This window comes from Homo sapiens, chromosome 12 (assembly GCF_000001405.40).
Source record: "Homo sapiens chromosome 12, GRCh38.p14 Primary Assembly".
NCBI classification, from domain to species: Eukaryota; Metazoa; Chordata; class Mammalia; order Primates; family Hominidae; genus Homo; species Homo sapiens.
In genome coordinates this window covers 131,343,244-131,371,135 of record NC_000012.12, presented here as the reverse complement: position 1 = coordinate 131,371,135, position 27,892 = coordinate 131,343,244, and the positions used below count along the sequence as shown (strand labels likewise).

At 50.2% G+C, this 27,892-nt stretch overlaps 1 long non-coding RNA gene across 1 annotated transcript, besides 3 other annotated features; it reads right to left on the bottom strand.

Moving 5' to 3' along the window:
• Window positions 1-3,580: 3,580 nt before the first annotated feature.
• On the bottom strand, window positions 3,581-23,666 carry LINC02370 (long intergenic non-protein coding RNA 2370). The gene is made up of 5 exons (NR_103736.1): window positions 23,475-23,666; window positions 21,592-21,808; window positions 4,121-5,180; window positions 3,797-4,012; window positions 3,581-3,689 (listed from the first exon to the last, which is right to left on the bottom strand). It is a non-coding gene; the product is annotated as a long intergenic non-protein coding RNA 2370 (long non-coding RNA).
• Window positions 22,232-22,776: an enhancer, noted in NCBI's record as "H3K4me1 hESC enhancer chr12:131832905-131833449 (GRCh37/hg19 assembly coordinates)". NCBI's record gives its function as "activates a minimal SCP1, AML or CMV promoter by ChIP-STARR-seq in primed H9 embryonic stem cells {active_cell/tissue: H9 hESC(primed)}" and the evidence as "EXISTENCE:reporter gene assay evidence [ECO:0000049][PMID:30033119]".
• Window positions 23,969-24,606: an enhancer, noted in NCBI's record as "H3K4me1 hESC enhancer chr12:131831075-131831712 (GRCh37/hg19 assembly coordinates)". NCBI's record gives its function as "activates a minimal SCP1, AML or CMV promoter by ChIP-STARR-seq in naive H9 embryonic stem cells {active_cell/tissue: H9 hESC(naive)}" and the evidence as "EXISTENCE:reporter gene assay evidence [ECO:0000049][PMID:30033119]".
• Window positions 25,148-25,372: a silencer, noted in NCBI's record as "fragment chr12:131830309-131830533 (GRCh37/hg19 assembly coordinates)". NCBI's record gives its function as "represses an EF-1alpha promoter that drives an FKBP-Casp9 reporter gene in an ReSE screen in HepG2 liver carcinoma cells {active_cell/tissue: HepG2}" and the evidence as "EXISTENCE:reporter gene assay evidence [ECO:0000049][PMID:32094911]".

Below are 27,892 nucleotides of genomic sequence, written 5' to 3'. Positions count from 1 at the left end.
CCATAGAGAGGCCCACGCTTTTCATGCAACACAGCCGGTAAATGCAGACTCACTCCCTGGCCTGGGGCTCTGATGGAGACACAGGAACCTGGTCCCTGGCTGCAGGAAGCAACACCCATGGGTCCAGGGAGGGGTGTTGTGTCCGTCACTGTATTTCAAGGGCTTACGAAGGTGTTGCCTTTGGTCATTCTGCTATTTGTGACTTCATCTTATGTACTAACGTTAGGATGCTACTTCTGAAAAGGATGTGACTCACTTACTCTATTAAAAAAAAGAGTAAAGTTTTTTCTTTAAGGAGCCTGCTGCCTGAGGGAACCCTGTACAGTTATGGGGTCAGGAGTGGAGCCTCAGGCCAAGTGATTAAGAACAGGAAGAGATTCTGGGCAGAAATGATCGATACATTTATAAAGGAGATTCTATTGGTTCCACGTCTGAAGGATGAAAATACAGAAGGTCAATTCACACAGAGCATACACTCTGTGCCTGCCCTGTTCAGGTTAAATCCACACCAAAGCTCATTCTGCAAAAAACGAAATGGAGACACAGAGTGAATAATCAGCTCCCTGCACCCCACGCTCTGTAAACCAGGACACTGGCCCTCTCGCTCCCGAGTCCATGCCGCGAGCACTGACTGACCCTGCCTGACCCTGCCATAGAAGCAGGGCTCTGGGCTGCTGATTTCCAGTAGGAAATTCAACAGCTCATCAAACCCATGGTTGCCATGGCCTGGCCGGAAGAGACTCTTCTCCCCTGAGGAGTAAGAGTGAAGGGTTATCAGATTCTAAGAGTCTTGGGAGGTTGCTTTGTTCAGGAAAGTCACCTCCTTCGTGGGGGTCCCTCCTCCCACATCTATTCCTGGAAACCCAGGTTGGCTAGGGACACGACGGGGCATCGCTTGAGGTAAGAAGACCCCCCAACACTGTTTTTTTGGGGTGGGCCACACCCTCCTGGGGTCACATTGGACACCGACGGTCTGCTTCCCCTCTGAAGGGCCCTGGTTCTCACTGCTTACCACAAAGGAGACCCCTGAGCCAAGGGAGGCTCCCCGCTGGCTCTTCCCTGCCTCATCCCAAGAAGCCCTGCCCATTGCCCCTGCCCTGCTCTGCCTGACATGCCGGAGGTGGAGGATTGTTCCATGAGCAGCTCCACATTGATTAGGTTTCCATGGCCAACAACCCAGGTCCTTGTCACGGATGCCGGCATTTTGTTGTCCTGCTGGTTTGATGCTGGCATCCACTGGACAAATCAATGGTCAAAGGGAGGCAGGGAGTAGAGAGAGGGCACTGTGCATTCTGCAAGTGACTCCAGAGCCCCAAAGACAGCCGGTTCCATTCAAACAAACAACGCACGTGCTGACGTCCCCGTGAGTTGTGTAGGCAGCGTTGCAAAAGTTCCCCAAACCCTTATGTATGTGCACATTTGGAGCCTGCGAATGGATCTGCTCCAACATTTGGCCAAGATGGGAGCATGGGGCTGAACATCCACTTCCCCTCCCAGCCAAGTTTTCAGCTTCCACATAGGTTCCCGGGCAGAGGGTCCAATTCTGCTGAAATCAGGCCTAGGAGAACTGCCTGGGGCATGTTGTTAGAACAGAAATCCTGCAGGTGCTGCCCCGACTCATTCTGTCCAGGCCCTCCAAGGTTAGTGCCCCGGAAAGAAGAGCTCAGCTCCAGGCCTGGCCCCGCTGGAGAGAGGCCAGGACACTCCCAGGACAGTGCTCGGAGGGCAGGAGCTGGGGATCCGGTGAGGTGGATTCCAGGCTGAAGGAAGGAGTCCTGAAGGGGATCAGGTGAGGAGAGGAGGAGACCATGAATGGAGAGCAAGTGTCTGCGGAGGACCTGGGGTCACCGGATGGCACTCACGGTGCTGGGACTCTGGAGCCTGGCAGGGCTGCCTCTGGGGTCTGGGGGAGCCTGACCCTTCCCACGATCTGGGCCATCCATGGGGAGGACAAGAACAGTGGCCTGCTGCTCACCTGGAGATCCTGGATTGAGGAGGGGGCTGTCAGCTCATGGACACCTCCCTGCTTCTCACGCTGGCTCCACTGAGCCCCCAGATCCTTCCTGCCCTGCCGTGGGACCTGCAGGCATCTTTCCTGGCCAGAAGACCCTCAGCAGTGAGTCCACTCCCCAGAGCAAATGTCCAGGTCCACCCTGTGTGGTGGCCGCTGGCCTCCCTGCCCCCTGAGCAGCCAGGTGGGTGTTCCGAGTCCAGAGCCTCCTCCATGCCCCTTCCTCTGTTCCCATCTGTCACCACCTGGGCCAGGGCCTTAGTGAGGGACCCTGCAGGCAGGCATGCCCTCAGGACACGCACCAGGAGTGAGGGTGGGTCCAGCTGCCATCAGTTGCGCCCCAGGGCTCCTGGCTGTGGTGAGGGTCTGGTCTAGCCACTACCAGCTCCCAGAGTGCCTGCTCTGACCCTGGCTGAGTTCAGGAAGGGGCCTCTTCCAGGTCCTCCCCTAGAAGGGGTGGGCACCTTCCCATTTCAACAGTCCTGAGAGGGCACCTTTTCCTTCTTTGCACACTTGCTGGTGGCAGCCCAGGCCCTGTGTGCCCGACAGGCCATGCTGTCACTCCAGGGCCTGTCCCCTCTGTGTCCAGTCAGTGGCTGTGTCTTGCTGTCCATGCTGCACACAGGACCCCAGGCTTTTGCTGCTCTGTGACTCTCCAGCCTCACCCCCAGCCCCAACCTCAAAGGCCTCATGCTTGGGGACCTTGAGGACTCAGCCTCCAGTGCTCTCTGGATCCTCTGCCTGACCGGGAGTCACCTCTGCCACAGGGACGCATCCCCCAGACCAGTCTCTCCCTGGTGGTCTGGCCTCCTCCCCCAGAAAGCAGGCCAGACCCATGGTTTGAGATAGGACACTTTCCAAAATTAAATTCCTCTGCCAGAGGCGTCTCGCTCAGACAGTGAGCTCTCATAATTGCTCGTTTTGGGATCCGATCAGATATTTCCTTGACAAGAGCCTGCGGATATAATGTTAATAGAAAAAAATTGTATTTGGCATTTTTGTGCTCTTCCCTGCCAAAGGCTCTGAGCCTCGGCGCTTATTGGTTTTCTGCGGCAGATTCATTTTGCATTTCCTCCTTATTACTGGGCTTAGTGGGACCAGAGCTGTTTGAGGAGGGAGAGATTATCATTTTCCACCTCCGCGCTGTACAGTTCATCAACAGCGTGCAAATGACAGAGGCTGGGTGGGGAGTGGCGGACTCGGAAGCAGAGGGCAGGCCGGAGACCAAGTGAGGGAGACCAGTGGCCATGAGAGCCAGCATGGACAGGAGCTGTGGGTCACATCTCTATGGTCCCAGCCTATTACCCCAAAGTCCAGAGTTGCCAAAACTTCCATTTGTTCAAGAGCATCCTGGCCCCGCATTCCCAGATGAGGCCCCTGATGTCTGCAGGTGGGCCTGGGTGGGACCCGCTGCCCTGCAGGCCCCATCCGGCTCCCCCGACCCCACTCCACCCGCCCTAAGATGACTGGGGCCCTCTGTCCATCCAGGCTCCCTTCCCTCCCTATTTTGAGTTGGGCTCCACTAATGGAGTCTCCCCTGGGGCACAGAGCAGGCTGGAGAGACAGGCTGAGGTCGCGGCATTTATTCCTCGTGCCCTCCCTGCATGGGGCTGTGCTGCTGGCAAGAGCTGGGACCCCCAGTCTCCAGGCCCAGCTTCTGTGGAGTGCCCCGCATGGCCTCACGGGGACCCTCATCTCCAGACCCAGCTTCTGTGGAGTGCCCCGCATGGCCTCACGGGGACCCCCAGTCTCCAGACCCAGCTTCTGTAGAGTGCCCCGCATGGCCTCACGGGGACCCCCAGTCTCCAGGCCCAGCTTCTGTGGAGTGCCCCGCATGGCCTCACGGGGACCCCCAGTCTCCAGACCCAGCTTCTGTGGAGTGCCCCGCATGGCCTCACGGGGACCCCCAGTCTCCAGGCCCAGCTTCTGTGGAGTGCCCCGCATGGCCTCACGGGGACCCCCAGTCTCCAGGCCCAGCTTCTGTGGAGTGCCCCGCATGGCCTCACGGGGACCCCCAGTCTCCAGGCCCAGCTTCTGTAGAGTGCCCCGCATGGCCTCACGGGGACCCCCAGTCTCCAGACCCAGCTTCTGTAGAGTGCCCCATATGGCCTCACGGGGACCCCCAGTCTCCAGACCCAGCTTCTGTAGAGTGCCCCGCATGGCCTCACGGGGACCCCCAGTCTCCAGGCCCAGCTTCTGTAGAGTGCCCCATATGGCCTCACGGGGACCCCCAGTCTCCAGACCCAGCTTCTGTGGAGTGCCCCGCATGGCCTCCCTGGGACCCAGCAGCATGGCTCCTGCCCTGCTCCTCAGGCCACAGGTGGCGACAACATCCACTGTGGCACCCCCCCTCGAGTTCCACGCCATCCTTGCTCACCCTGCCTGCGCCTCTGCAAGGCACCCTTCTGTGAACGGTTGAGTGAACTCTGGTTCCTGCCAGGGCCCCGGCTGATGGAGCCTTGAATGAAAACAAAGAGACCACAATCCTCTGAACCCTCCTCAGCCCGATGAGAAAGCAGCCTCCCACTCAATTCACTCAAACAAACAGGCTCTGTGCCTGGGCTGACCCTGCTTTTGAACCCAGCCCAAGGTCAGACAGTTCCCCGTTCCCCATTCATCATGGCTGGGAGGTGGCATGACAGCTGTGGCCTGTCCTGGGGCTGGCAGGGTTCAGCAGGGGCTGAAGGGTCACAAATGGTGAGGACTGGGGTACTGGGAGTAGGGACCCTGGGAGAGGCTGGTCCTGGGAACCATGTCAAGGAGCCTGGCGGTCATCAGGGAGCACGTGAGGGAGAAGAGGAGGTGCTTTCTCCAGAGGAGGGAAGCTTGGTGCAGGCAGCTGCTCCATTCCCTTGGAGCTTGGGCTGGGCTGTGACCCTCGGGGTGGGGAAGAAGCAGCCACCTGGGGAGACTCCAGCTCAGGGCAGGGGCATCCCCCCAGCCAGCCACTGCCTGTGGGCCTCGTTCATAGGGGACGTCACGGTGCAGCCAGCACATGCACTGGGCAGCTCTTCTCTGGGGGCCAGGAGAGCCCAGGTTGGATGTCATGGTCCCAGACACCTGCTCAGCCGAGAGGGACACCTGCCATCCAGAAGGAGGCGGTGGGGTTCTCTTCCTGGACACGGAACCTACACGTGACTTCGCTGGTTGTAAAAGTGACACAAGCCTCCTGTGAAAGAAAAGCAAGAAAGTAAGCAGCGCGAAGGCATTTCCATGAAGTGGGAGGCGTGTGCAGGTCAGCGTGCCCCTCCACGGCCCACGCTTCAGGCATTCTGTTCATGTTTTTACAGCTTTAACATTTTCTGCATAGTGATGTCATACATGTATTTTGAAACAAAATGGGTCCTAATATACAAAAGGTCCTTTTTTAAAATTACTCAACATTGTGGCGTGCACATTTTCGCAGTGACTGTGGACCTACTGTGTGGGTCTCCACCCCTGGCCCTGGTCTGTTGTCACTGCTCCTCCAGCATAAACCAAAAAACAATAAGTCCCTGATCGGGGAGTGGGGGAGAGGTGGAGGCAGGGACAGCTCCCACAGGGATGCGAGGGTAGGGGAAGGGCACAGAGGGAGTGACTCAGGGCTGGTGATCTTAGTGGGAGCAGCTAAGCCCTACATGCTTCGGGAGCTTGGCTCTAGTCACAGGTCCTGTGAGCCTGTCCTTGTAGGCATTTCTTCGTGGAGCAAACATCTCCAAATGTGAAAGCCTTTCGGCACATTTCACCAAACTGCCCCCAGAAGCTTCGAACAGGGGACACTTACCAGCCCCCAGAGGGTCCTGAGAATCCATCCCCCAGACCCTCATTGGCATCAGCTATTGCAGTGAGTTTCAGTCTTTTCTCACCCGATGAACTTGAAGTATTTTCGTTTCGTTTGCATGTCTTGGATAATTAGTGATGTTGCTTCCATTGCGGCTCCATTGTTTTTGTGTGTCTTCTTTCTTGAACTTTTTATTCATGCCAATCCTTTGTATACAGATATCTTTTTTCATATTGATTTGAATATGCTCTTTACATATTAAGGATACAAACTTGTTGTTTGTCATGTTGTCTTCAAATGCTTTCCTCCAGTTCACTTGCCTTACAAAGTCATGATGACACACTCTGCATTCAGAGACTTTAAAATCTGTGCAATTCCATAACCTATCCTTTGCTTATTGTCTATGGACATTTAAGTTCTTTCTTATCTTCAAGATTTTAGATTATTTTTCTACATTTTCCTCAAAGTCAAACAAAATTTACAACAAATTAAAACAATAACTTAAAATTATTTTAAGTGGCAGAAAAATGAATACATTCTAGTAGAAATTTCAAAGAATTTGACAAAGCCCACGTGTTTGAAGACCTGCCATTTGCCGGACACTGTGATCAAAGCTGGGAATATAATGAAAAATTCTGCTTCCTTAGAGCTCATAGCTAGGAGGCATCCACAAATTATCACATGGATCAGTATAAAACTAGCCCTGGGAACAGAAATTCCTGCGGAGAACAGTGGAGAATCTCCCCCTGAGAATTCTCAAATTTTCACAGAGATTAATGTAAATGACCACTGAGATAAATGTTGTGAAGATGAAGTGTGTGAGCAGCGGTGGCCTGTGCAGGAGGGCTGCCCACGGCACTCCCTGTTTAAGCGTCCCCGAGGGAGTGATATTGAGCTGTGATTTTACACGAGTGGAGGTTCACTCATTTAAATGAGTGATTTTAAATAAGTGGAAGCACTGAGATCATGAGGAGGGAGAGGTTATGAGGAGGAGGGGAGGAGAGTTCACATGCCAGCTCAAGGACACCCCCAGCTCACGGACACCTCCCAGCTTGAGGACACCTCCCAGCTCACAGACACCTCCCAGCTCGAGGACACCTCCCAGCTCAAGGACACCCCCCAGCTCACGGACACCTCCCAGCTCACAGACACCTCCCAGCTTGAGGACACCTCCCAGCTCGAGGACACCTCCCAGCGCGAGGACACCTCCCAGCTCACGGACACCTCCCAGCTTGAGGACACCTCCCAGCTTGAGGACACCTCCCAGCTCACGGACACCTCCCAGCTTGAGGACACCTCCCAGCTCACTCCGCTCTGCCCCCTCCTGCTCTGCTACCTCCTAGTCCCATCGTCTGGAGGTAGCTACAGTCGGAATATGGTGTGTATCCTTCTAAAACATCTCATGTGTACCTTTAAACATAAATTTATAATGTTAATAATGGAAAAATAGAGTGTTTGTGTATATTTATGTTTGTTTTCTGCTTATGAAAAATTTCAAAAACATACACAAAGGTAGAGGATACATAAAACTCTCACATACCCGTCGCCCGACATCAACAACCACAAACATGTTACCTCCCCCAGAGTCACAGTCCCACAGGTAACAAGTGACTCTAAATGGGACAGGGGAGAGGTGGATGCAGGGATGGCTCCCACAGGCGTGGGCGGGTGGAGGAAGTCTGCAGGGCCAGTGCCGCACTTCAGGGCTGGGATCTTAGCAGGGTCTCAGCGGTGCAGCTAAGACCACTGCATCTGCATGGGCAGGGAGGGTGGTTACTCACCCAGTGGGGCAGCAGCTGGCTCTGCATGAGGGGCTGCCAGACAAGAACTGCAGCCCAGCGAGCGGGGGTAGAGGAGCAGGTGCTCTGAGCACAGCCTCTCGCCTCTGGTTGAGCCAAAGGTCTCCAGAGGACACAGAGTCCCTTTACTACTGGATATTAGGGTCAGCCTCCAGGCACAGGACTGGATAGAGAGCACTGAGAGAGATGTACGTGAAGTGAAAGAGAGGCTTGCAGCACGGTTGAGTGCTTTAAAGCAAATTGCACACCCCATGTCCTCACATTCCTAAATCCTTCAATACGCATCCGAATAAGGAATCTCTTCTTGCATGACTACCGTTCTACACTCACGCTTTGCAAAACAAACAACTCCTTCATTTAATCAAACATTGCAGTGGGCTCAGGGTTTGTGTCCCCACAAAATGCATATGACGAAACCTAATCACCAACATAATGGATTAGGAGGGGAGGCCTTCGGGAGGTGATTAGGTCCTGAGGATGGAGCCCTCATGAATGGATTAGTGCCCTTATAAACGGGCTCCAGAGAGCTGCCTCGCCCCTTGCACCATGTGAGGATGCAACAAGAAGACCGCCATCTATGAACCAAGAAGTGGGCCTTGCCAGATGCTGAATCTGCAGGAGGCTTGATTTTGGACTCACCAGACTGTGAGAAATAAATGTCTGTTGTTTATAAGCCACGCTGTCTAAGGCATTTTGTTACAGCAGCCTGAACTGACTAAGACAAACACTTAGTCTATACTCAAATTCCCTTTGCCAGAGACGTTTGAACCAGAGTGACTCCATCTTGAACAAGGACTGAGTAAAATGAGGCCAAGACCCTCTGGGCCGCATTTCCAGGAAGCTAGGCACTCTTAGTCACAGGATGAGACAGGAGGTGGACAGAGCTGGTATCACAAGATACAGGTCAAAAAGGCCCTGCTGATAAAACAGGATGTGGTAAAGAAGCCAGCCCAAATTCACCAAATCCAAGACGGCAATGAAAGTGACCTCTGGTGGTCCTCACTGCTCGTTAAATGCTAATTATAATACAGCAGGTGCTAAAAGTCATTCCTACCAGCATCATGGCAGTTTACAAATGCAACGCTACCCTATATGGTCTAAAAGGGGGAGAAACCCTCAGTTCTGGGAAATCCCCATCCCTTTCCCAAAAAACTCATGAATAATCCATCCCTTGTTTAGCATATAATCAAGAAATAACCACAAAAGTAGCCAACTAGCAGCCCTTGGTGCTGCTCGGTCTATGGAGTAGCCATTCTTTTGTTTCTTTACTTCTCTCATAAACTTGCTTTCATTTTACTCTATGAACTTGCCTGGAATTCTTTCTTGTGTGAGGTCCAAGAACCCTCTCTTGGGGTCTGGATCAGGACCCCTTTCCGATAACATCTTGATTAGCGAGAAAACTGAATTTTAGTAGCTGATTTATTTTAATCCAGATCCAAGCAAAGTCTATATGTCATGTCAGAAAACTCTATCTGTTAAGTCTCTTTAAATCTAGAGTTGTCTCTTCTGCCTCCACCTCCCGCTCCATTTCACAGATCTCCTACCTCATGCTGGCTTTTTGAGGAAAGCAAGTCAAGTGTCCCATTAGATGGTCACGTTAGGATCTGCCCAGTGGCTTCCGGGGCTGTTTAACTTGTTCCCCTGCTCACACATTGCTGCAGGCTTGGAATTAAATGCCAGGGCTGATGAGATCCAGGTTTTCTCTGTGCATGGATACTTGGTAGCTGAAGCTGTATTCTTTGTACTGCAGCCTATCAGGAGACACATAATGATTAAACTTCACTTTTAATGATGCTGAGACTGATCAGCGAATTCAGATGGCAACAATGATCCATTCAATGTAAGTTTCTCTATCGATCTTCCACTGAAGAGTGTTACCATCGATTGATGACATTAACCTAGTCAATTTTTGATAAGGTGTTGGAACTTCTAACTCTCTTCCTCCTTCTGAAATTATTTGCTTGAGTGCTTCTGTTGAGAAAAGCCATCCCTCATCCACTAAGGCTATGATTTATCATGAAATACAATTAATACCAGGAAGGCAGGATAAATGCTTAGTTTTCCTCTTTATTTATCAATTTTCAGCATAATGGATTGGCATCCTAGCAACCTCCAGAAGTGTGCAATAAGTTTTGTGGTATATATCTTTTCTGTACCACCCCCTATACACATTCTTTTACTCATAGCTTGTTTTTAATTGAAGTGAGTCTCACATAACATAAAAATCCTTTTAACGTGTACAATCCAGTGCCATTCAGTACATTCACACTGTTGTGTGACAGTCACCTCCAGAACATTTTCATCCCTTTTGTCCTCCGTCCTCCACAGCCCATGACAGCCACTTATCTGCCGTCTCTGGATTTAACTATTCTGGATCTTTTTAACATAAATGAAATCGTGCAATATATGATCTTTTGTTCCCGGCTTCTTTCACTTAGGGATATTCTGAAGGCTCATCCATGCTGTCATATGTGTGAGTGCTTCATTCCTTGTTAAAGCTGAAAAATGTTCCGTTGCATGGACAGACCATATTTTATTTATTCATTAATTGGCCATTTGTGCTGTTTCCAACTTCTGGCTCTTGTGAATAGTGCTGTTAGGAACATTCATCTACAAGTATCTGTTTGAATTCTTAATTTCAGTTCTTTTGGTTATAGACTTAGGGGTAGAATTCCTGGCTCAGATGGTAATTCTACGTTTAACTTTTTAAGGAAGTGCTGAATCATTTTTCACAGGGCCATTTTACATTCACCTTTTACATACGGCGATGTGTGAGAGTTCCGCTTCCCCCACATCCTGACCCACTTCTTACCTTTGTCGCTATTATTATTACTGCTATGTTACCATCCTATGGGGTGTGATGTGCTTCCTCATTGAAGTTTTGATTTGCATTTCCCTAATGACCCCAAATGTTATAATCATCTTTTCATGTGCTTGGCAGCCATCTATATATCTTCTTTGGAGAAATATCCAAGTCGTTTGCCTGTTCTTAAATTTTATTTTAATTGGGTTGTCTTTTTATCATTAAGTTGTATCAGTTCTTTGTACATTTTGAATTCTAGGTCCTTAGCAGTTATATAAATTGGAAATATTTTCTCTTGTTCTATATGTTGTCTTTTCATTTTCTTGACAGTGTTCTTTGATACACAAAAGTTTAATTTTGCTAAAGTCAACTTTATCTATTTTTTTCTTTTGTTGCTTATGCTATTGGTGTCAAAGCTAAAAGTCCATTGCCAAATCCAAAGTCATGAATACTTACACCTTTCTTCTAAGAGTTTTATACTTTAGTTCTTACATTTAGGTCTTTGATCCACTTTGTGTTAATTTTTGTATATGGAGTGGGATAGGTCTAATCTCATTCTTTGCATGTGAATATCCTGTTTTCCCAGCAACATTTGTTGAAGAGATTATTCTCACCCTGTTGAATCCTCTTTGCACCCTTGTCAGACATTTGACTGTGGATGCACAGGACTATTTCTGGACTCTCTATTCCATTGGTCTATCTGTCTATCCTTATGCCAGAACCACACTGTTTTGATGACTGCAGCACTGTAATATGTTTTGAAATGAAAAAAAAAGTGAGTCCTCCAACCTGGTTAGTTTTAAGATTATTTTAGCTACTTGCCATAACTTGCAATTCACATGAATTCTAATATCTGATTTGCCATTTCTCCAAAAAAAAAAAAAAAAAAGGAAAAAGGAGAAAAAAAGAAAAAAATCCACTGAGATTGTGATTCAGAAATAGCTCTGAATCTGTAGATCCCTTTGGGAAGTTTTGAAGTCTAAACAATATTAAATCTTCCAAGAAATTAACACAGGGTGTGTTTCCATTTATTTAGGTCTTCTTTAATTTCTCTCATTAATATTTTGTTTTAGGTGTGCAAATCTTACACCTCCTCAAACTTATTCCTAGATATTTTATTATTTTTGGTGCCATTGTAAATGGAATTGTTTTCTTAATTTTGTTTTAGGATTGTTCGTTACTAGTGTGTAAGAATACAATGGATTTTTGTGTGTTGATTTTGTACCTTGCAACTTTATTAAATTCTATCATGTTTAGTAGTTTTTTGTGTGTGAATTCTTTAGGATTTTCTATGTACAAGATCAAGTCATATGTGTATATAGTTTTACATCTTCATTTCCAATTTGTACGTCTCTTATTTTGTTTTCTTGATTAATTGTTATGATTAGAAATTTCAGCACAATGTTGAATGGAGGTGGCAAAAGTGGGCATGTTTTGTTCTTGAATTTAGCTGGGAAGGTTTCAATCCTTCAACACTAAGTACAACATTAGCAATATGCTTTTCCTAAATGCTTTTTACCATGTTGAAGAAGTTGCCTTCCATTTCTAGTTTGTTGAGTTGGTTTTTTGTTTGGTTGGCTTTTGTTTTGCTTTTTAAATCATAAGAGGCTGTTGAGTTTTGTCAAATGCTTTTTCTACATTAATTGAGACTATTATAATCTTTTCTTTAATTCTACTAATTTTGTGTATTACATTAAATAATTGTTGTATGTTTAACCATCCTTGTGTTCCTGGGATAAATCCCACTTGGTTGGTTATGTTGTATAATTATTTTACCATGCTGCTGTATTACATTTTCTAGTTGAGGATTTAATATTCATAAGGGATACTAATCTGTAATTTTTTCTTGTGATGTCTGCCTTTGGAATCAGGATAATGCTGGAATCATAAAATGAGTTAGGAAGTATTTCTTCCACTCTATTTTTTTTTTGAAGAGTTTGATAATTTTGGCTGTTTGTTTAAATGTTTGTGCTGTTTACCAGTGAAGCCACCTTGTCCTCTAGTCTTCTTTGGTGGGAGGTTCTGATTAGAATTCAGTCTTTTTCCTTGTTATAAGTCTATTCAAATGTTCCATTTCTTCTTGCGTCAGTTATTGTAGTTTGTGTTTTACTAGGAATTTGTTTCATCTAAGCTTCTGAATTTATTGGCATACAATTGCTCATAGTATTGTCTTATAATCCTTTTATTTCTGCAAGGTAGGTAATAATGGCCACATGTTCATTTCTGACTGTTTCATGGCTTTTGATGTACCCTGAATCTTCTAATCCATTGCAGTCATTATTCTTGTTGATGTTGTATTAACACATCCCTGTTCAGCGAGAGCGTCAGGCTAGCTCCTGTGTCTGGGTGACACCACTTCATGAGCCCATGGCATCATCTTTGATCTGTGAGACACTGAGATGACCCAGTGTACTAGTCCATTATTACACTGCTATAAAGACATACCTGAGGCTCAGTAATTTATAAAGAAAAGAGGTTTAATTGGCTCATGGTTCTGCAGGCTATACAGGCTTCTGCTTCTAGGGAGGCCATAGGAAACTTACACTCATGGCAGAAGGCGAATGGGAAGCAGGCACGGTTTTCACATGGCCAGCAGGAGAGACAGAGAGCAAAGGGGGAAGTGCTACACCCTTTTCAAACAACCAGATCTCATGAGAACGTTATCACAAGACAGCACTAGGGAGAAGGTGCTAAACCTTTAGAAACCACCCCCATGATCCAATAACCTCCCACCAGGCCCCACCTCCAACACTGGGGATTAACAATTCAACATGAGATTTGGGAGGGGAAACAGGGTCAAACCATATCACCCAGGTACATCTTGAACATTTCCTACTAAGGACCTGGAATCAGTTATTCAAATGGTTCAGGATCATCCCAGACCTGTATCTTATGTGTCTATAATTCCCTTGACCTGGAGTGCTCTCCTGTGCCCATTTTTGGTGCAGTTCATATTTATTCTTGAGGTCTTCATTTAGATGTCCTTCTTGGTTGCCTCCCTTGTGCCCCACAGACTTATCCAGCCCCTCTTGACGGTATTTTGCCTTGGTGGTATTGCTTTCAGTGGTTGGCCGTTATTTGTTTAGAGTCTCGGCCTGCTAATATTAAGGGTAATTTGGTCCTGGGGCTTTCAGGGGATGCCCGTGGAGCCCAGCAATGACTGCAGCAGAGCAGAAGGCAGAGCCCCCAGGGCAGAGACTGAGGTCTTGATGACACGGCTGGGCCCTGGTGCTGGCTGTCAGCACTCCCGAGGCCTTCCCCGCAATGCTGGCAAACAAAGACAACAAAACAACTTTCGGTTTAAGCCATCAAGAACCAGGTTTCAGTCGCTTGCAACCAAAAGCTCTTAGTTATAAAATATCTTCTCCAAACTTTTTAGAATTGTCTCTCCACTGCCTGTCACCATGGCAACCCACAGTTATAATGAGATAGTTTCATGAATAATGGAGGTGAAGAGGTGGCCTATGGTGTTTGTCTCACCCAAGCTTTATCTCATTTAGTGCTTCAAGATTAGATTTTCCAGCTGTTATAGGCTTCCAGATGCTCAAAGAGTCTGGAATGATTGGATGTCACTCTGAAGCAGTAGACCTCATCGGGGCAATTTAAATTATATGTACAGGAGCAGTGCAGGAGGAAGCAGACACATTCCACAGCTGTAACCTGGGAATTTCGGCCCCGGCCCAGAGAGACTGTGGTGGAGAGGAGGGGTGAAAGGGAGCGAATGAATTATAATCTGCTCTTCCTCCAGTCACGTGGGCTGGTCGCCACAGTTCTCACTGACTGGTTCTTTTAATAATTTTGTTTCTACTTTTCAAAAAGAAATGGTATTTGCACCCAATTTAATGAGTTCCATAGATATGAAAATGATATTCTCCCTCTTTCCTCCACTGTCCCTCCCCAGAGATCACCTTTGATTCTTTTAGTCGTTTCTCGTGTTGTGTGTCTTCCCATCTCCAAATGAGACGCCTGTGTTTCCACTTCCTGATGCTTCCATGCGAGGCACCACCTTCGATAGGGAAGGTCGGGACCTGCTTCTCCTTGGCCTGCTCCACCCACAGGCACCCCCGTCCACCCCTGCCACTGGGATTCCCTCAGATCGAGACTGGCTGCTGATATCACCAAGCTCACCTGAGCCCCGTTCACCATGGAGCCGAGACAGAGACCACGGGCACTTTCCTCATCTGGATATTTCATTTTTCCCTCAAATCTGTAGCTTGAAAGAATTGCTTCGTTATCATTAATTCAACCCCAATTCTCCATAAATTGACCACATCAGTTTTCAAGACTTTCGCTGGGATCAGCAGTGCTGACTGTTTCCCCTTCCTGAGTTTTCTGCCCTGTGCCTGTCTGGGCCAGCTCCCCCCATGCCTGCAGCTCACTCTGCTCTGTGCTCCTCCACCATCCTGGGTGGCATTCGCTTCTTTCCCCAGATGGACCTCCTGCTTCCTGGAAATCTCCCTCCACCTTAGAATCAGCGTCTCTGATGGCAGCCCTGGGCCTGCTGGGTTTGGATTTCAGGGACAAGCTGGGCCTGCGTCCCTCCATGCGGAGCAGCTGTCCATGCTGCCACCAGCCTGAGTGAGGACATCACCCTCACAGCGTCGGGCCTCTCACCCAGGAGTGACTTGGTCTGGAGAGCTGTGTGTCCACTGCTGACGTTTGGGCCTCCCAGAAGAAGCTGCCCCATGCAGTCCTGAGGTCCATGCTGTTGCCTGGGCCTGCAAGTGGAGCCATCTGCACCAGAGATGGGAATGCCGCTGCTCTGTGATGGACGTGCAGCAGAGAGCTGCAGAGAAGGCCCCTCGGTGTCATGAGAGGGGGCTCCTGCAAAGCCAGCCCCGGGCTTCCCCAGACATCAGGCGAATGAAGCTCATAGCGGCCTTTACTCCAAAAGCTGTCCTCAGAGAGGGCGTCCGTGGCCTGCAGACCAGTGACAACCAAGGGAGGACACTGCGCTCCTGGCCACCTTCTCGACCCCTTCCAAAGCCTGCCTGGCCTCACTCTTGTATGTCAGCATCTCCCTTCCCAGCAAACGAGTGAAGACACTGATAGAAGAGTTTCATTAATAATTGTCCTTTTCCAGGCAGCTTTTAAAACATATTTTCCCTCCATGAAAGCCTTAAGATAAATGGCACGTCGGCAGTGCCAGCTCCCGCTCCAGGGCTCTTTGTAAGGAGTGGGGCTGTTTATCAACCGCCAGTCACCCCGGCCTGGCACAGCAGGGAACAGCGGCCTCTCCCCATGATGTGCTCTGTCCAGGCTGCCCCCCTTCAGCTCAGAACGATGGAACGTGTGTTTCGGCCGCGCGTCAGTGTGGGCTCCGTTCATTCCTACCAGCTTTGTTTCTCAGTAGCTGGGAAATACAATTTATTGTAAACCTTGCATTATTTTGTGGATGATTAACTGGAATCATGAGCAATTTATTTCCAGAGAATATGTAGGCCTTCCCAAGGCTTCCAAACGTGCATGAAAGCCAATACCAGTGCTTCTTCATCAGCCTACCTGCATCTCCCTGAAACCTGTTTCCTCCTCTTCAGACAAGATCAGAAGACCAATTCTTTTTTATTTTTATTTCTCTCTCTCTCTCTCTCTCTCTCTCTCTCTCTCTCTCTCTCTCTCTCTCGGTCTCTCCCCAGAGCCAATCCATTTGCAAATCTTGTCATCTCCAGCTCCAAGATAGATCTGGAAAAAATGTCCTCCCTCCATCTCCACTGCCACCGCTGTAGTCTGAGCAACACTTATTTCCTGCTTGGACCAGTGCAGTAGCCTGAAAACTCATTTCTTTCCATTCCCACCTCTCTCTGCAGTGCAGCCTGGGAGGCCCCTCGGGGGGCAGAGCATGTTGCACACTGTCTTGCCTCCCCATATTACCAGTGGCCAGGGCACTTAGCAAAAGCTAGACCCTTTCCCCTGCCTGTAAGGCACACGGGGCCTGACCCCTGCTGACCTGCTGCAGCTCTGGCCTCCTCTCCTTGCCCTCAGCCTCCTTTCTGCTCTTCACAGGGCCACACTGGTTTCTGCTGCATGACCTTTCCCTGGTGATGCCGCTGCCTGGTATGCACCTGCCCAGGTTTGCATGCTGTTGGCTCCTTGTTGGTGCCAATATCATACCCTCTAAGAGATCTTTCCTGGCTGCCCCAGCTCATAATGGCCTCTCCCCAGCCACATTGTTACATGGTCCATTCTGTTTCATCGACGGCCCTTTTGACAACTGAGGATTATCGTATTCATTTTCTCACATACTTGTATGTCTCTTCACTGGACCGGAACATAAGTTCCAGGAGAGCAGAGCCATGGCTCTCCTGGGGCTGTGTCCCCAGCGCCTGGGACAGAGCCTGGTACAGGGGGGTGCTTAATAACCAAATGTTGAATGAAGTCACCAGATCTCTCCCTTCAGTGGCTAGTGTGAGTTCAGACAAAGGAAGAAGACTTACATGAGGCTTACAGGGTTGAGGTCAGAAATAATTGAGATTCTGAACTTGCACGAATTCCAGCACTTCAGGAGCGTGAGAGCAGATCTGCACATATGCAGGGATGAACAGGGTGACCCCAAGGACTAAGCTCTCAGACTCCTCAGCAGAGGCAGGATGGGGACAGGGGTCGTGGTATGGGGGACTGCACATCGTGGTTGGAGGGCTGTCAGCTGATCACTCGTCCCACCTGGAACCCCCAGAACTTCTCTCTGCATTTCCCTTCCAGCTGCTCCCTCCCTGGGTGCACCCTTATTGCTTATGCAGCAGCATTTACAAGTGAGTCACCCCGAGTGGTTGCAGCAGGTGGCAGGGGCAGGTGAGTCAGCCCGAGTGGTTGCTGCAGGTGGCAGGGGCAAGTCAGTGACCCTGAGTTGCTGCTGCAAGGTGACGATGCTGCTGCAGGTGTAGATGATGGTCTTCAGTGATTGCTACAGAGGAGAGGGCACTTCACTATCTAGCTTTCAGAACATGAGCCTCAAGTTTCTTTTGCCTTGTTTCCTCTTCAGGGAAAACAGAGACAGAGATGGAGAAGGAGACTCCTGAGTTCATCAAGAAACACCTTGATCCAGCCTTGCTTGGAACGTTGGGGTAGATGAACAACAGGTATGTGGCCTTTTCTGTGTGGGCCACTGGGAACTGGGTTTCTGCCATTTGCAGAAAGAGGTTCCTGACTGGCATGCAGGCCCCAACCCAGGCTGAGCTTGAAGTGCAATGGCACACGTGGCCTCCCTTCCTGTCTGCCCACCTTCTTGGGGCCTATTGCTGTGGAGCTCCAGGGAGGCCCCTTCCCTGCTGGATGGAGCAGGGAGAAAGAATATCTTCATGGCTAATACTCCTTCATCATGTTGCTTTGAGGACACTCTAGCTGGCACTGAGAACCTGAGCTGTGGAGTCCCAATTCTATTCATTAGTAGGTGTGTGACCCAGGGCAAGCTTAACTTCTCTAAATCTAAATCTCTTCATCTCTAAAGTGGGAAAATAATGGTCTCCAGGCCTGCAGGTTGTTGTGAGGCTTAGGCAACGCTGTATATGCAAAGCATTTAGCACAATGTTCTGCACATATTAGATACTCAACACATGGTGTCTGTGTCAGTAAGCAAGTTTCTCTCTAAATAACTGCACACATTCATACAATACATGATGACTCAAATCCAATAGAAGCTTATGTCTTGCCTTTATGGCAGTCCAAGTGGTTATGAGACAGGTAACTCTCTTCCATGGTGTATTTCTGAGACTCAAACCCCTTCCATGATGTGAATCACCATCTCATTGATGTCTGTGTCCTTCCAGGAGAATGGACAAGACATCATAAAGGCGGTAATCATGCTTCCTTCGGCCAGAAACGGTCCCCATCCCATCTATTGATGAGAACGCAGCCATGTGACCACATCTCCTTGCCAGGCAGGCTGGGCAATGTGGCTTCACCACGTACCAAGGAAGGAGGAGCAGCAACTGGTGAGCATACAGCGCAGCACCCACTTGTGGTGCCAGACCATCAGGTAAGGCCAGACACAGCCGGGCAGCCTGGCAGCAAGGACAACGAAACCTGGAGCTGGTTTATCGGTGACGAGTGGAATCTGTTTCCTGAAGAGCCTGAGAAGGCAAAGAGCCTCCTCTGCGGGAAGACGGGAGTGAGGGGCTGACTGCCGGCATTCCAGGACAAGAAATTCTGCCCCTCCGGGGTGCATCCTCCTTCTTCCATTCTCATGGAAGTGGTCAGCGACGTCAGGAAGCTCACTCCGTGTTTTCCAAGGAAAGAACACTGGTCCTGGAATCGGCCTGCCTCTGGTTCCAGCAGGCCCGGCCAGGCCATCCCGGCACCTCCGCTGGCTTCTCCTCCAACCCATCAGGCTTGGTCAGTCCTTCTCTTCCAGCGACCTCAGAGTGGCAGAGCCATTGGTGCAGCTATAAATGACTGATGGCCCGGTTGTGTTGGAGGAATTGTAAACACCATTCATAATTCATCGGGCGGGCATGTGCTTTGCATTTAGAATGGCTGGTACCCGCAGCCTGCTGCGGAGCTGCAGGGAGACCTGGTGGACGACGTCCCCTGCACCCTCCAGGGCCAGTGGCTCAGCCAGGATTCAGGGAGGCTCTAGTGGCTGGATTAACTCAGGGCTTCAAGGCTGGCTTTTCACAGAGCTCCATGTTTGAGGTATTAGCTTATCACCTGTTACTTAATTTTTTCCTTTCCATCAACTACCTTATTTTACATAATTCAATTTTAAAAAGGAAAATTTGCATCATTTTCCAAAATGAAAATCAGTATCTACTGCCCTTAATATCCAGTCCCAGCGAGGAGGAGGAAGTGCATCTCTGATTGGCTTGATTTGGTTGTGTGCCCATCCCTTATCCAATCACTGTGATGAGAGTGTGTGTAACTCTGATTGGCTTGATCTGGTCATGTGGTTACATGTTATCCAATCACTGTGATGAGGATGTTTGGGACTATGATTGGCTTGATTTGGTCATGTGCCCACCTCTTATCCAATCACCATGATGAGGCTGGGCTGTGTATGACTCTGATTGGCCAGTAATAGGTCACATGCTCACTGGTGATGTGACGGGCTGGGTCAAAGTGCAGGTCACTTTCTTCAGGGAAATCCTGATGTTGTGACAGGAGGAAGAGGAAGAGGAGGGACATGTCAAATAATATCGCCCACGGTTCTGTTCTCTAAATGTTCCTCTTTCTCCCACACTGCTGAGCAGAGCTGTTGAGGTCTGCAAGGAACTGCTGGTGTAAAGTGTGGGATTGAGCCCCTGTGCTCCCCAGGTGGGCCTTGGTGAGCCCCTGAGTGTGAACACATGCCTGGGCTGAGCCCCTGAGAGTGAGGCCCTGTGTGTGAACACCTGCTTGGGGTGAGCCCCTGAGAGTGAGCCCCTGTGAACACATGCCTGGGCTGAGTCCCTGAGAGTGAGCCCCTGTGTGTGAACACATTCCCGGGGTGATCCCCTGAGAGTGAGCCCCTGAATGTGAACACCTTCCTGGGGTGAGCCTCTGAGAGTGAGCCCCTGTGAACACTTTCCTGGGTGAGCCCCTGAGAGTGAACCTCTGTGTGTGAACACCTGCCCGGGGTGAGCCCCTGAGAGTGAGCTCCTGTGTATGACACCTTCCTGGGGTGAGCCCCTGAGAGTGAGCCCCTGAGTGTGAACACCTGCCTGGGATGGGCACCTGTCCAGCATGGGCATCTGAATGTGGGCATGTGAACGTATGCACCTGAGTATGAACAGCATTACCATACCATGCTCTCTGAGGAATTCTCACTGTGAAGTTCCTGGTAATAAAAGTCAATCAAAACTCCATGTTCTATCGACCCAGCTCCCTCCACATTCCACATCTTCTTTCTGGTCTTAAAACAGGAATTAAAAGAAATTAAAGAATGTGTAAGCAGAAACTCAGTTGTATGTAAGAAAACCCAGGCCGGGCGCGGTGGCTCACGCTTGTAATCCCAGCACTTTGGGAGGCCGAGGCGGGTGGATCACGAGGTCAGGAAATCGAGACCACGGTGAAACCCCGTCTCTACTAAAAAAAATAAAAAAAAAAAAAAATTAGCCGGGCGTGGTGGCGGGCGCCTGTAGTCCCAGCTACTCGGAGAGGCTGAGGCAGGAGAATGGAGTGAACCCGGGAGGCGGAGCTTGCAGTGAGCCGAGACTGCGCCACTGCACTCCAGCCTGGGTGACAGAGCGAGACTCCGTCTCAAAAAAAAAAAAAAAAAAAAAAAAAAAAAAAAAAAAAAGAAAACCCAATTCCCCTTGAGAAAGAGAAAGAGCTGGAGTCCTTTAAAAATTAACTGCCTGTTTTTCTGTGGCTAGTGAGCCTTATCTCTCCTCCCTTCCCAGGCATTGTGAAGACCCTGTTTCCCTAGCTGTGCAGCTGCAAGGTCACCAGACAGATAAACTCAAGTCGCAAAACATGTTTTTCCTTGAAAAGTAAGAAATGATGTAATACATGTCTCAGTTGAATAACTGTCTTTGTTTCTCGCTTCTGTAATATGCTTCCCCCTGCACAGATCTCCCCCCCACAACACCCCACCCCATGAAATGCTTAAAAGGTAACTTAACTCTTTGTTCAGGGCTCAGTCATTGGAATGTTAGTCCTACTGGGCCGGTGTACCTAAATAATAAATATCCTCCTCAACCCCATCGGTCTCTGATTCCTTATCAATCCTGCTACAGTCTTAGGCAGAGTCATCAGTTGGATATAAAGTTTCTCGGTCTGTTTTTAGTGAACGTACATGGAAAACACGTACAGAACTGGAATCGTGGAATAACTCACATGTGGAATTGAATCCTAAGCACAAGTTTGGTACCAAGGTCCACACATGAGGTGGGAATCATGCAGCATGAAGTCCCCTGGGGAGTCCCACACGGACCTGCATGGTAGCCACTGCCACCTGCCCCACCAGCCCAGCACGGCCGGCTTCACCCTGATGCTTCTGCAGTTGAGCAGAAGATGATGGTGGGTATGAACTTGGAAGCTAAACGGTCTGGATTTGCATCGCTGCACTTCTATAAGCCCATCTGTAAAACAGGTTTATGTGGATTCAGTAGTTGAATATAGGAGAAGCCGTAAGAGGGATTCTCGGCACTTCATAAATTCTCGGACGATGTTGGAAATGACGGCAGCGAAGAGCACGATGATCACTGTTACAGACTACAGCTTCCCAGCTGGCAAGGTGCCCACACCCCAAGGGGCAGGAAGAAACAGAGACAGGTAGGGACAGTGTGCTCCTGCTCAGGCTCACCTTGCTGCTGCGACGCTGGTGGCCACAGTTGCTTGCAGGACCTAAGGCCACCCACAGCGTGGTGTCCAGCCTGGCTGACCTTACCCTTTTCCGAGGGACCTGAAGTAGTTGAGGGTGGTCCTGGGACATGCTTGTATATTTTAGAGGTGCAGAGTGTAGAATTTAGAAGTAAAAGGCCATCGTGATTGCAATGTACTTCGAATTAATTCCAAAAAATCTAGAGAAGAAGCAAATGCAGGAAGTTATCGGTAATTGTGACATCTGGCTGATGGTAAATGGGTGTTCTCCATACCCTTCTCCCTCCATTTCTGCATGTTTAAAATTGTCCACAATAAAAAGATGAAAACATGAATGAAAGTATCTTTTGCTAAAACAACAATATAGTGGAGATGAGGTATTATTGCATGAATACATCTACCTGCACAGATTTGAAGCAACCTCTGATTAGCCCCAAGCAGGCCCCACAGTAAATAGAGCAGGCATAATATCCTCCATTTAACAAGAGCCTCCCTGAGCCCGGGGGTCAGGTGCATCTTTGGTGAAGGTCTTTTTATGAAGCACTTGCCTGCAGCGCCTTTTTGTGAATGTCTAATCTGATGTCAGGTGGTCCCTCCAATGTCAGCCTCTGGTAGAAAAGTGCTACTCCCAGAGAAAAGCGTATTCAAAACTGCAAAATCATATCCTTTTCTGCCTCCTGCAGGGCTCTTGGCTCTTGAAAAACTGCTTAATATTTCCTAAAACCCAGGGGCTATTTTCCACTCTCCTCTCCTCTCTGCATTCCATTCAGCAATCCCGAGGGGATGTAGATGAGGATGCTGCCTGTTGTTTCCTTATTCAGGAAATTCTAAGGCATTTTCTCTACATGGAGGATTTTGAAGAGTGAATGAGAAAAGATAAACATCTTCAGAAAGAATCTCTGGGTGCTGGCAAGCAAGGAATGAGTTTTGCATTCGGGGAGGCCATTTGCCTTCAGTGTGGGGAGTCGGCAGTGTCAGAACTTGGCAGTGAACCTGAGGACGTGGACAGGAGCAGATGGGATGTTTGACTTCACCTCCCTTTTTCTCCCCGATGCATTTCAGTGCAGGTCTGCTGTGCTGCACCAGCTGCGTGGCTGAGGAGGAGACGAGGAGGAGGTTCTTGGGCACAGGAGGAACGGGGCTGGGGTGAAAGCAGCCAGCCAAGTGCGGGGGGTGCGCTCAGCGGGGGAAGCCAAAGTGCGTGGAAAAGAAGTGCTCTCCAGGACCAGCCCTGCCCACGGCCTCCTGGCCCTCAGGGGGACTCACAGACCTGACTCAACAGGCGCACACTCACACACAGGCACACATGCATGTACACAAGACACGTGTGCATATGAATGCACCCATGCACATGTGCATATGTACAGACGTGCATGGCACAGACACAGAAACATGAATCTGCACATGCACACACATGCATGCACACAGAGAGACACACGCATGCACACACATGCGTGCACAGAGAGACACACACAAGCACACGTATGCACACATGCGTATATACGTATGCATGTATACCACAAACACGCACATGCACAGATACACAAACACATTCACACACACACATGCACACATATGCATGCACACACAGAGACACACACAAGCACACATGTGCACACATGCATATATACGCATGCATGTATACCACAACCATGCACATGCACAGATACACAAACATTCACACAGACACACACATGCACACACACATGCACAGAGACAGAAGTACATGCACACACACACACATGCACAGAGGCATGCACACATGGAAGAAGCAGATACAAATGCACATATAGACACGTGTGCACACACATGCAAACACAGACTCAAAGTGTGGGAGACACCACCACCACTGCGCTGTCTGCTTACCTGTGTTTAGGGACTTTCGAGTTTTTCCACCTCTGCCACATTCTGCAAACCCCGAGAAGTGCAGCCCTTTTGGGTCATGATGGTGTCTGGTTCCCCTGCAGGAGAACATCTGGGCAGCTGTGGCGTTCGCCTTCCAGAGAGACTCCTGTCTCCTCCTACTGGGGAGGACTCACCGTGGACACCTGCAGATTGCTAAGTCATATCTCCAAGACGTTCTGGAGCCTGCTTTTCCACAACTCGAATAACTGTCGAATTTCCCACAATTCGAATAACAATAGAACGTGTCCCCATTCATTTCAGAAAGTGGAGGGCTCAGTGGAACAGCCCAGGACCTCATGTGAGGAGGAGATGGGGGCTGCTGAGGCCAGCATCAGAGCCTGGACAGGCACAATAGAATGTCCTAAAGAATTTCTGGAGACATGGCGAATTGTACTGCTGTCTAGATTTGCTCCTCCCCTGTGGCCCCAGCCCTGCTCATGCCGTTGGGTTAGGCCAGTCAGTGAGTCAATGGAACCAGTTGATTGGTTAGACGGTCCAGGTATTGGCTGCCGATGTGAGCGTGTGAGGATGGTAAAGGGCTGGCCCCCAGGTTAGGCTGGGCACACCTGATTTGAATAGATATTACACAAAATGTCCTCCAAACAGACTGCTCCTACACGCACTGCCACCAATGATATGAGGGGGACTGTCCCATCTCCCCCAGGCCCTTTTCCCTTCCCTAAAGACGGCAGAACAGGTTCTGTCTTTGCAATGATGAACCCAGACTCAGGCACCTCCAGTGGCTGAGCTCCCCAGAGAAGGCAGGGCCAGCCTCGTTCTGCACCTCCAGGCCATCCCACCATTGCAGGAGGCAGGGCAGGCATTTAGAGGAAGGGGAGGGGACACAGGGAGGACAGGAGCCGGGCCTTTCCCCCAGGGCTTCCTCCGTCCTGCTCCTGCAACAGCTTCTGGGCTCCGCTGGACCTCACCTGACCCTGCTCCCTGCACGGGGCAGCTCAGGGACCTTGACATCTGGGAAGAGAGGCTGCAGGGGAGGGGCTGGCGGGCGGCTGGGGGTCCCCGTAGTCCGGCTCTTTTCCCTCCTCACACACTGCTGTCTGCTCCCCGCTTGCCTGGCCCTGAGGCGAAGGGCCCAGGGGTCGCTGGTGAGGACGGGCTGCAGCTGGGCTGTCCTGGTGGAGGGAAGGAGATTATAAAAGGCCCTCAGAGAGCTACACAAGGTGGCCTTGTTTGGGGAACAGCCTCCCTCAAGCTCAGGGTTCCCTCCCATGTGAGCAGGAAGGGGTGGCCCAGGACCTGTGGTCAGGAGGCCTGCACTGTGTGGCTGGGGTGGGGGTCACTGCGGGTCTATTTCTAGCTCCGGCCTCTGCCCCACAGCCGGAGGCATTGGGTGAAGCCATTTGCAGCCTGAGGCATCCAGCGCCCTGGCCCTCCCTGCAGCTGTGACCTCACCAAAAACAGAGGCCACACTTCCCAGGGCGGGAGGGGCTGGAGGGCCCAGCTGTGAGGGTGAATGTGGCTGAGACCTTAGCTCCCTGGGGACCCAGGGCAGAATGAGCTTCCTCTACAACATACTGTGGCTCCCCATTGATGTGCAGAAGAGTCCATGCCCCTCCTCAGCTGGGGTTCACCAGTGTCACTACCACCCTTAGTCCTACTCCTCTACCAGCACCCCCTGCCACCTTGCCCTTCTTCTCTGGGCTGTGGCCTCATCCACCTCCATCTGTGTCCTGGTGGAGACCAGCACCCTCCTGGGGCAGGGCAGGAGGGCTTCCCTCTGTACCTCAGTGCCCAGAGTAGGACCCGGCAGGGCCCTCACCCTGCAAAGACGGGTACAGTGAGTGCAGAGGGTGAGGACGATGACACCCATCCTCGGGCACGCTGTAAGCAGCCATGCCTTCGAGCCTGAAAAGTGCTGGCCACAGTTCCCAGGTGGTCAGGATGCAGTGGAGCTGATGGCCCTGGGGAGTCAGCTCAGCCCAGCCCAGCCAGCAACAGGCTCTGCCCCGAGGCGCGAGTTCAAATCCCCTCCAGGCTCCAGCTGGGGAGGGCAGCCCACTCAGCCTCCCTGGACCTCAGGGTCCTCGTCTGTGAAATGGGAGTGAAAGTCACGGCGGGCGAGCCCGGGAGGGCTGCTGTGAGGATGAATGAGGGACCAGCTCCTGGCACGATGCACACCCCGTCCAGCCAGCACCGTCACAGGGGGTCAGCAACAAGGATGATTCCTCTTCCTCCCACCAAGGCGCAGAGGGCCTCTGAGTCACAAAGGAAAGGAACAGAGAAGACAGGCTGTGCTCCCGGTGACAAAGAGTCAGCTCTAAAGCCCAAATCCGCATTTACAGATGAGAAAACAACCACCACGGGCTGCAGGTGCTGATCCTCAAGCCTGTGATGGGCCGAGAAGCCCAGGGACTCTGCAGGGAAACGCCGAGCCCATGGCCCTGGCCTTGGCATTGAACCACGCACTTTTGCCCAGGTGGGTTAACACCCAGGGAGGCAGAGGGTTAGGACAGAGGGTCCCGGCACTCACTCCCGGGGCCTCGGGAGGTGACGGGGGCATCACCCCACTCTACTCCCTGTGTCCCTCCTGTGCCTGGGCTGAGAGGTGGGGACGACCGTGGGGCTCAGACCCCAGCATGGTGGCCAGGAGCTGAGTGACCAGCAGCAGGGCCAGCAGCAGTGCCAGATCAGATGGCAGGACTGATCTCATGTGTCAACAGCAGCACCCCAAAGACTCCAGAGACATTTTTGGGGATGAGGCCCCCACTGGGGAGCAGGGTCCTGACGTCACACAGGAGGCAAATTCAGCACCACGTCACTGTCCTTGGGTGGTCACAGGCGGCTGCACTGGGTGTGAGAGTGTCCACAACCCCTGAGGAACCTGCAGAACTGTCAGCTCGGGGGTCCCAAGATCAGCCAGATGAGTCTTGATACACCTGTGAACCGTTGGAGGACTTGCATCTCCTATTTCGGAAGGAAACATCCCAGACTAAAAAGGCTCCTACCACTGATCCTGAAGGAAAACCCTTTTCTCCTTAAAAAGATAAGTGAAGGCCTACGTAATCTTTATCTGTAACACCTCTCCTTCCCCCTTTAATGGAATCCTTTTACTATTTCATCATATTACTAAGCAGCGTATTAACCATACTCTTCAGGATAGGACTACATACTGTAGCTCCTACCGGGACGAAAATCCTAATCACATTAACCTTCTTTCTATCTTCCTTCCTTCTGACAGCAATTTATGCCTACCTTTAACTCAGCCTGGATAAAATGATCTTGTCTTCCAGAGCACCCTTTTACCTTCCTATTTACTCTGCCTGTCTATCCCTCCTACTTCCTTGGATACCTCATACAATCACCCCTCCCCTTCCTCTAGCTCCTAATTACCTCTACAAGACTCTCAACTTAACCCACTCAATGTTAAACCAGTCCAGTCCTTCCTGGGCAAATGACTGTTGGCTTTGTATCTCTCTATCAACCTCTGCTTACATTGCCACTCCCATTCCCACAAAAAATTGGGTCTTTACCAGCTTAACCTACCACCCTCATTATGAAGGAAAAGACCCTTTCCGACTTCTAAATATGCAACCATTAGCCGGCTTCCCCATCTCTGATAGGACCAAGAGTACCCTAACAGGACCCACAATCCAACTTTTATGTTCTTACATTTCCAACCTCACCTATTACACAAGCAATGAAAAGCCCATACACTGCCCTGTAACTACGAATACCATCTTAACTTTCTAAGCCCCTTTATGCATCCAGTGCAACCTGTTATCAGGCCTGCCCCTGGGGCACCTGCCACCCCATCAGTGTAATTACACCCTACATCTTCAAGCCCCAACTGATCATAGTAACTTCTGAGTCACCCAAACAGCTCCATTCAGACAGCTTGTCCACTTCTCAGGTCCCCCCAAAATCACCTCTTCCCTGCTTAACAAACAGTTCAGGTTTTGTGATGGCAAACATACTCCCTGCATGACTGTTCACCCCTGGAACCCCTGCAGCAGTGCCCCTACCACTAGTGAATGCCTTCTCATCCCCTCTTTCAGTCACTCTCTCGAATGGTTCCTAGTGGATACAAAACGGTTTTTCTCCAATGGGAAAATAGAATGCAGGCAGCCACTCAGTTTGCTCCCAACACCCCTTTCCAGCTGCTCACCGGAGCTACCTTGGCAAGTACTCTAGGAGTATGGGAAAATGAAAACAACAAACTCACACCTTTTTAACATACACAACCAGTTCTGTCTACCCAGCCAAGGTATATTCTTCTTACGTGGAACGTCGACCTATATCTGCCTCCCCACCACCTGGACAGGCACCTGCACCTTAGTCTTTCTAAGTCCCAACATTAACACTGCCCCAGGAAATCAGACCCTATCAGTACCCCTCAAAGTTCAAGTCTGTCAGCGCAG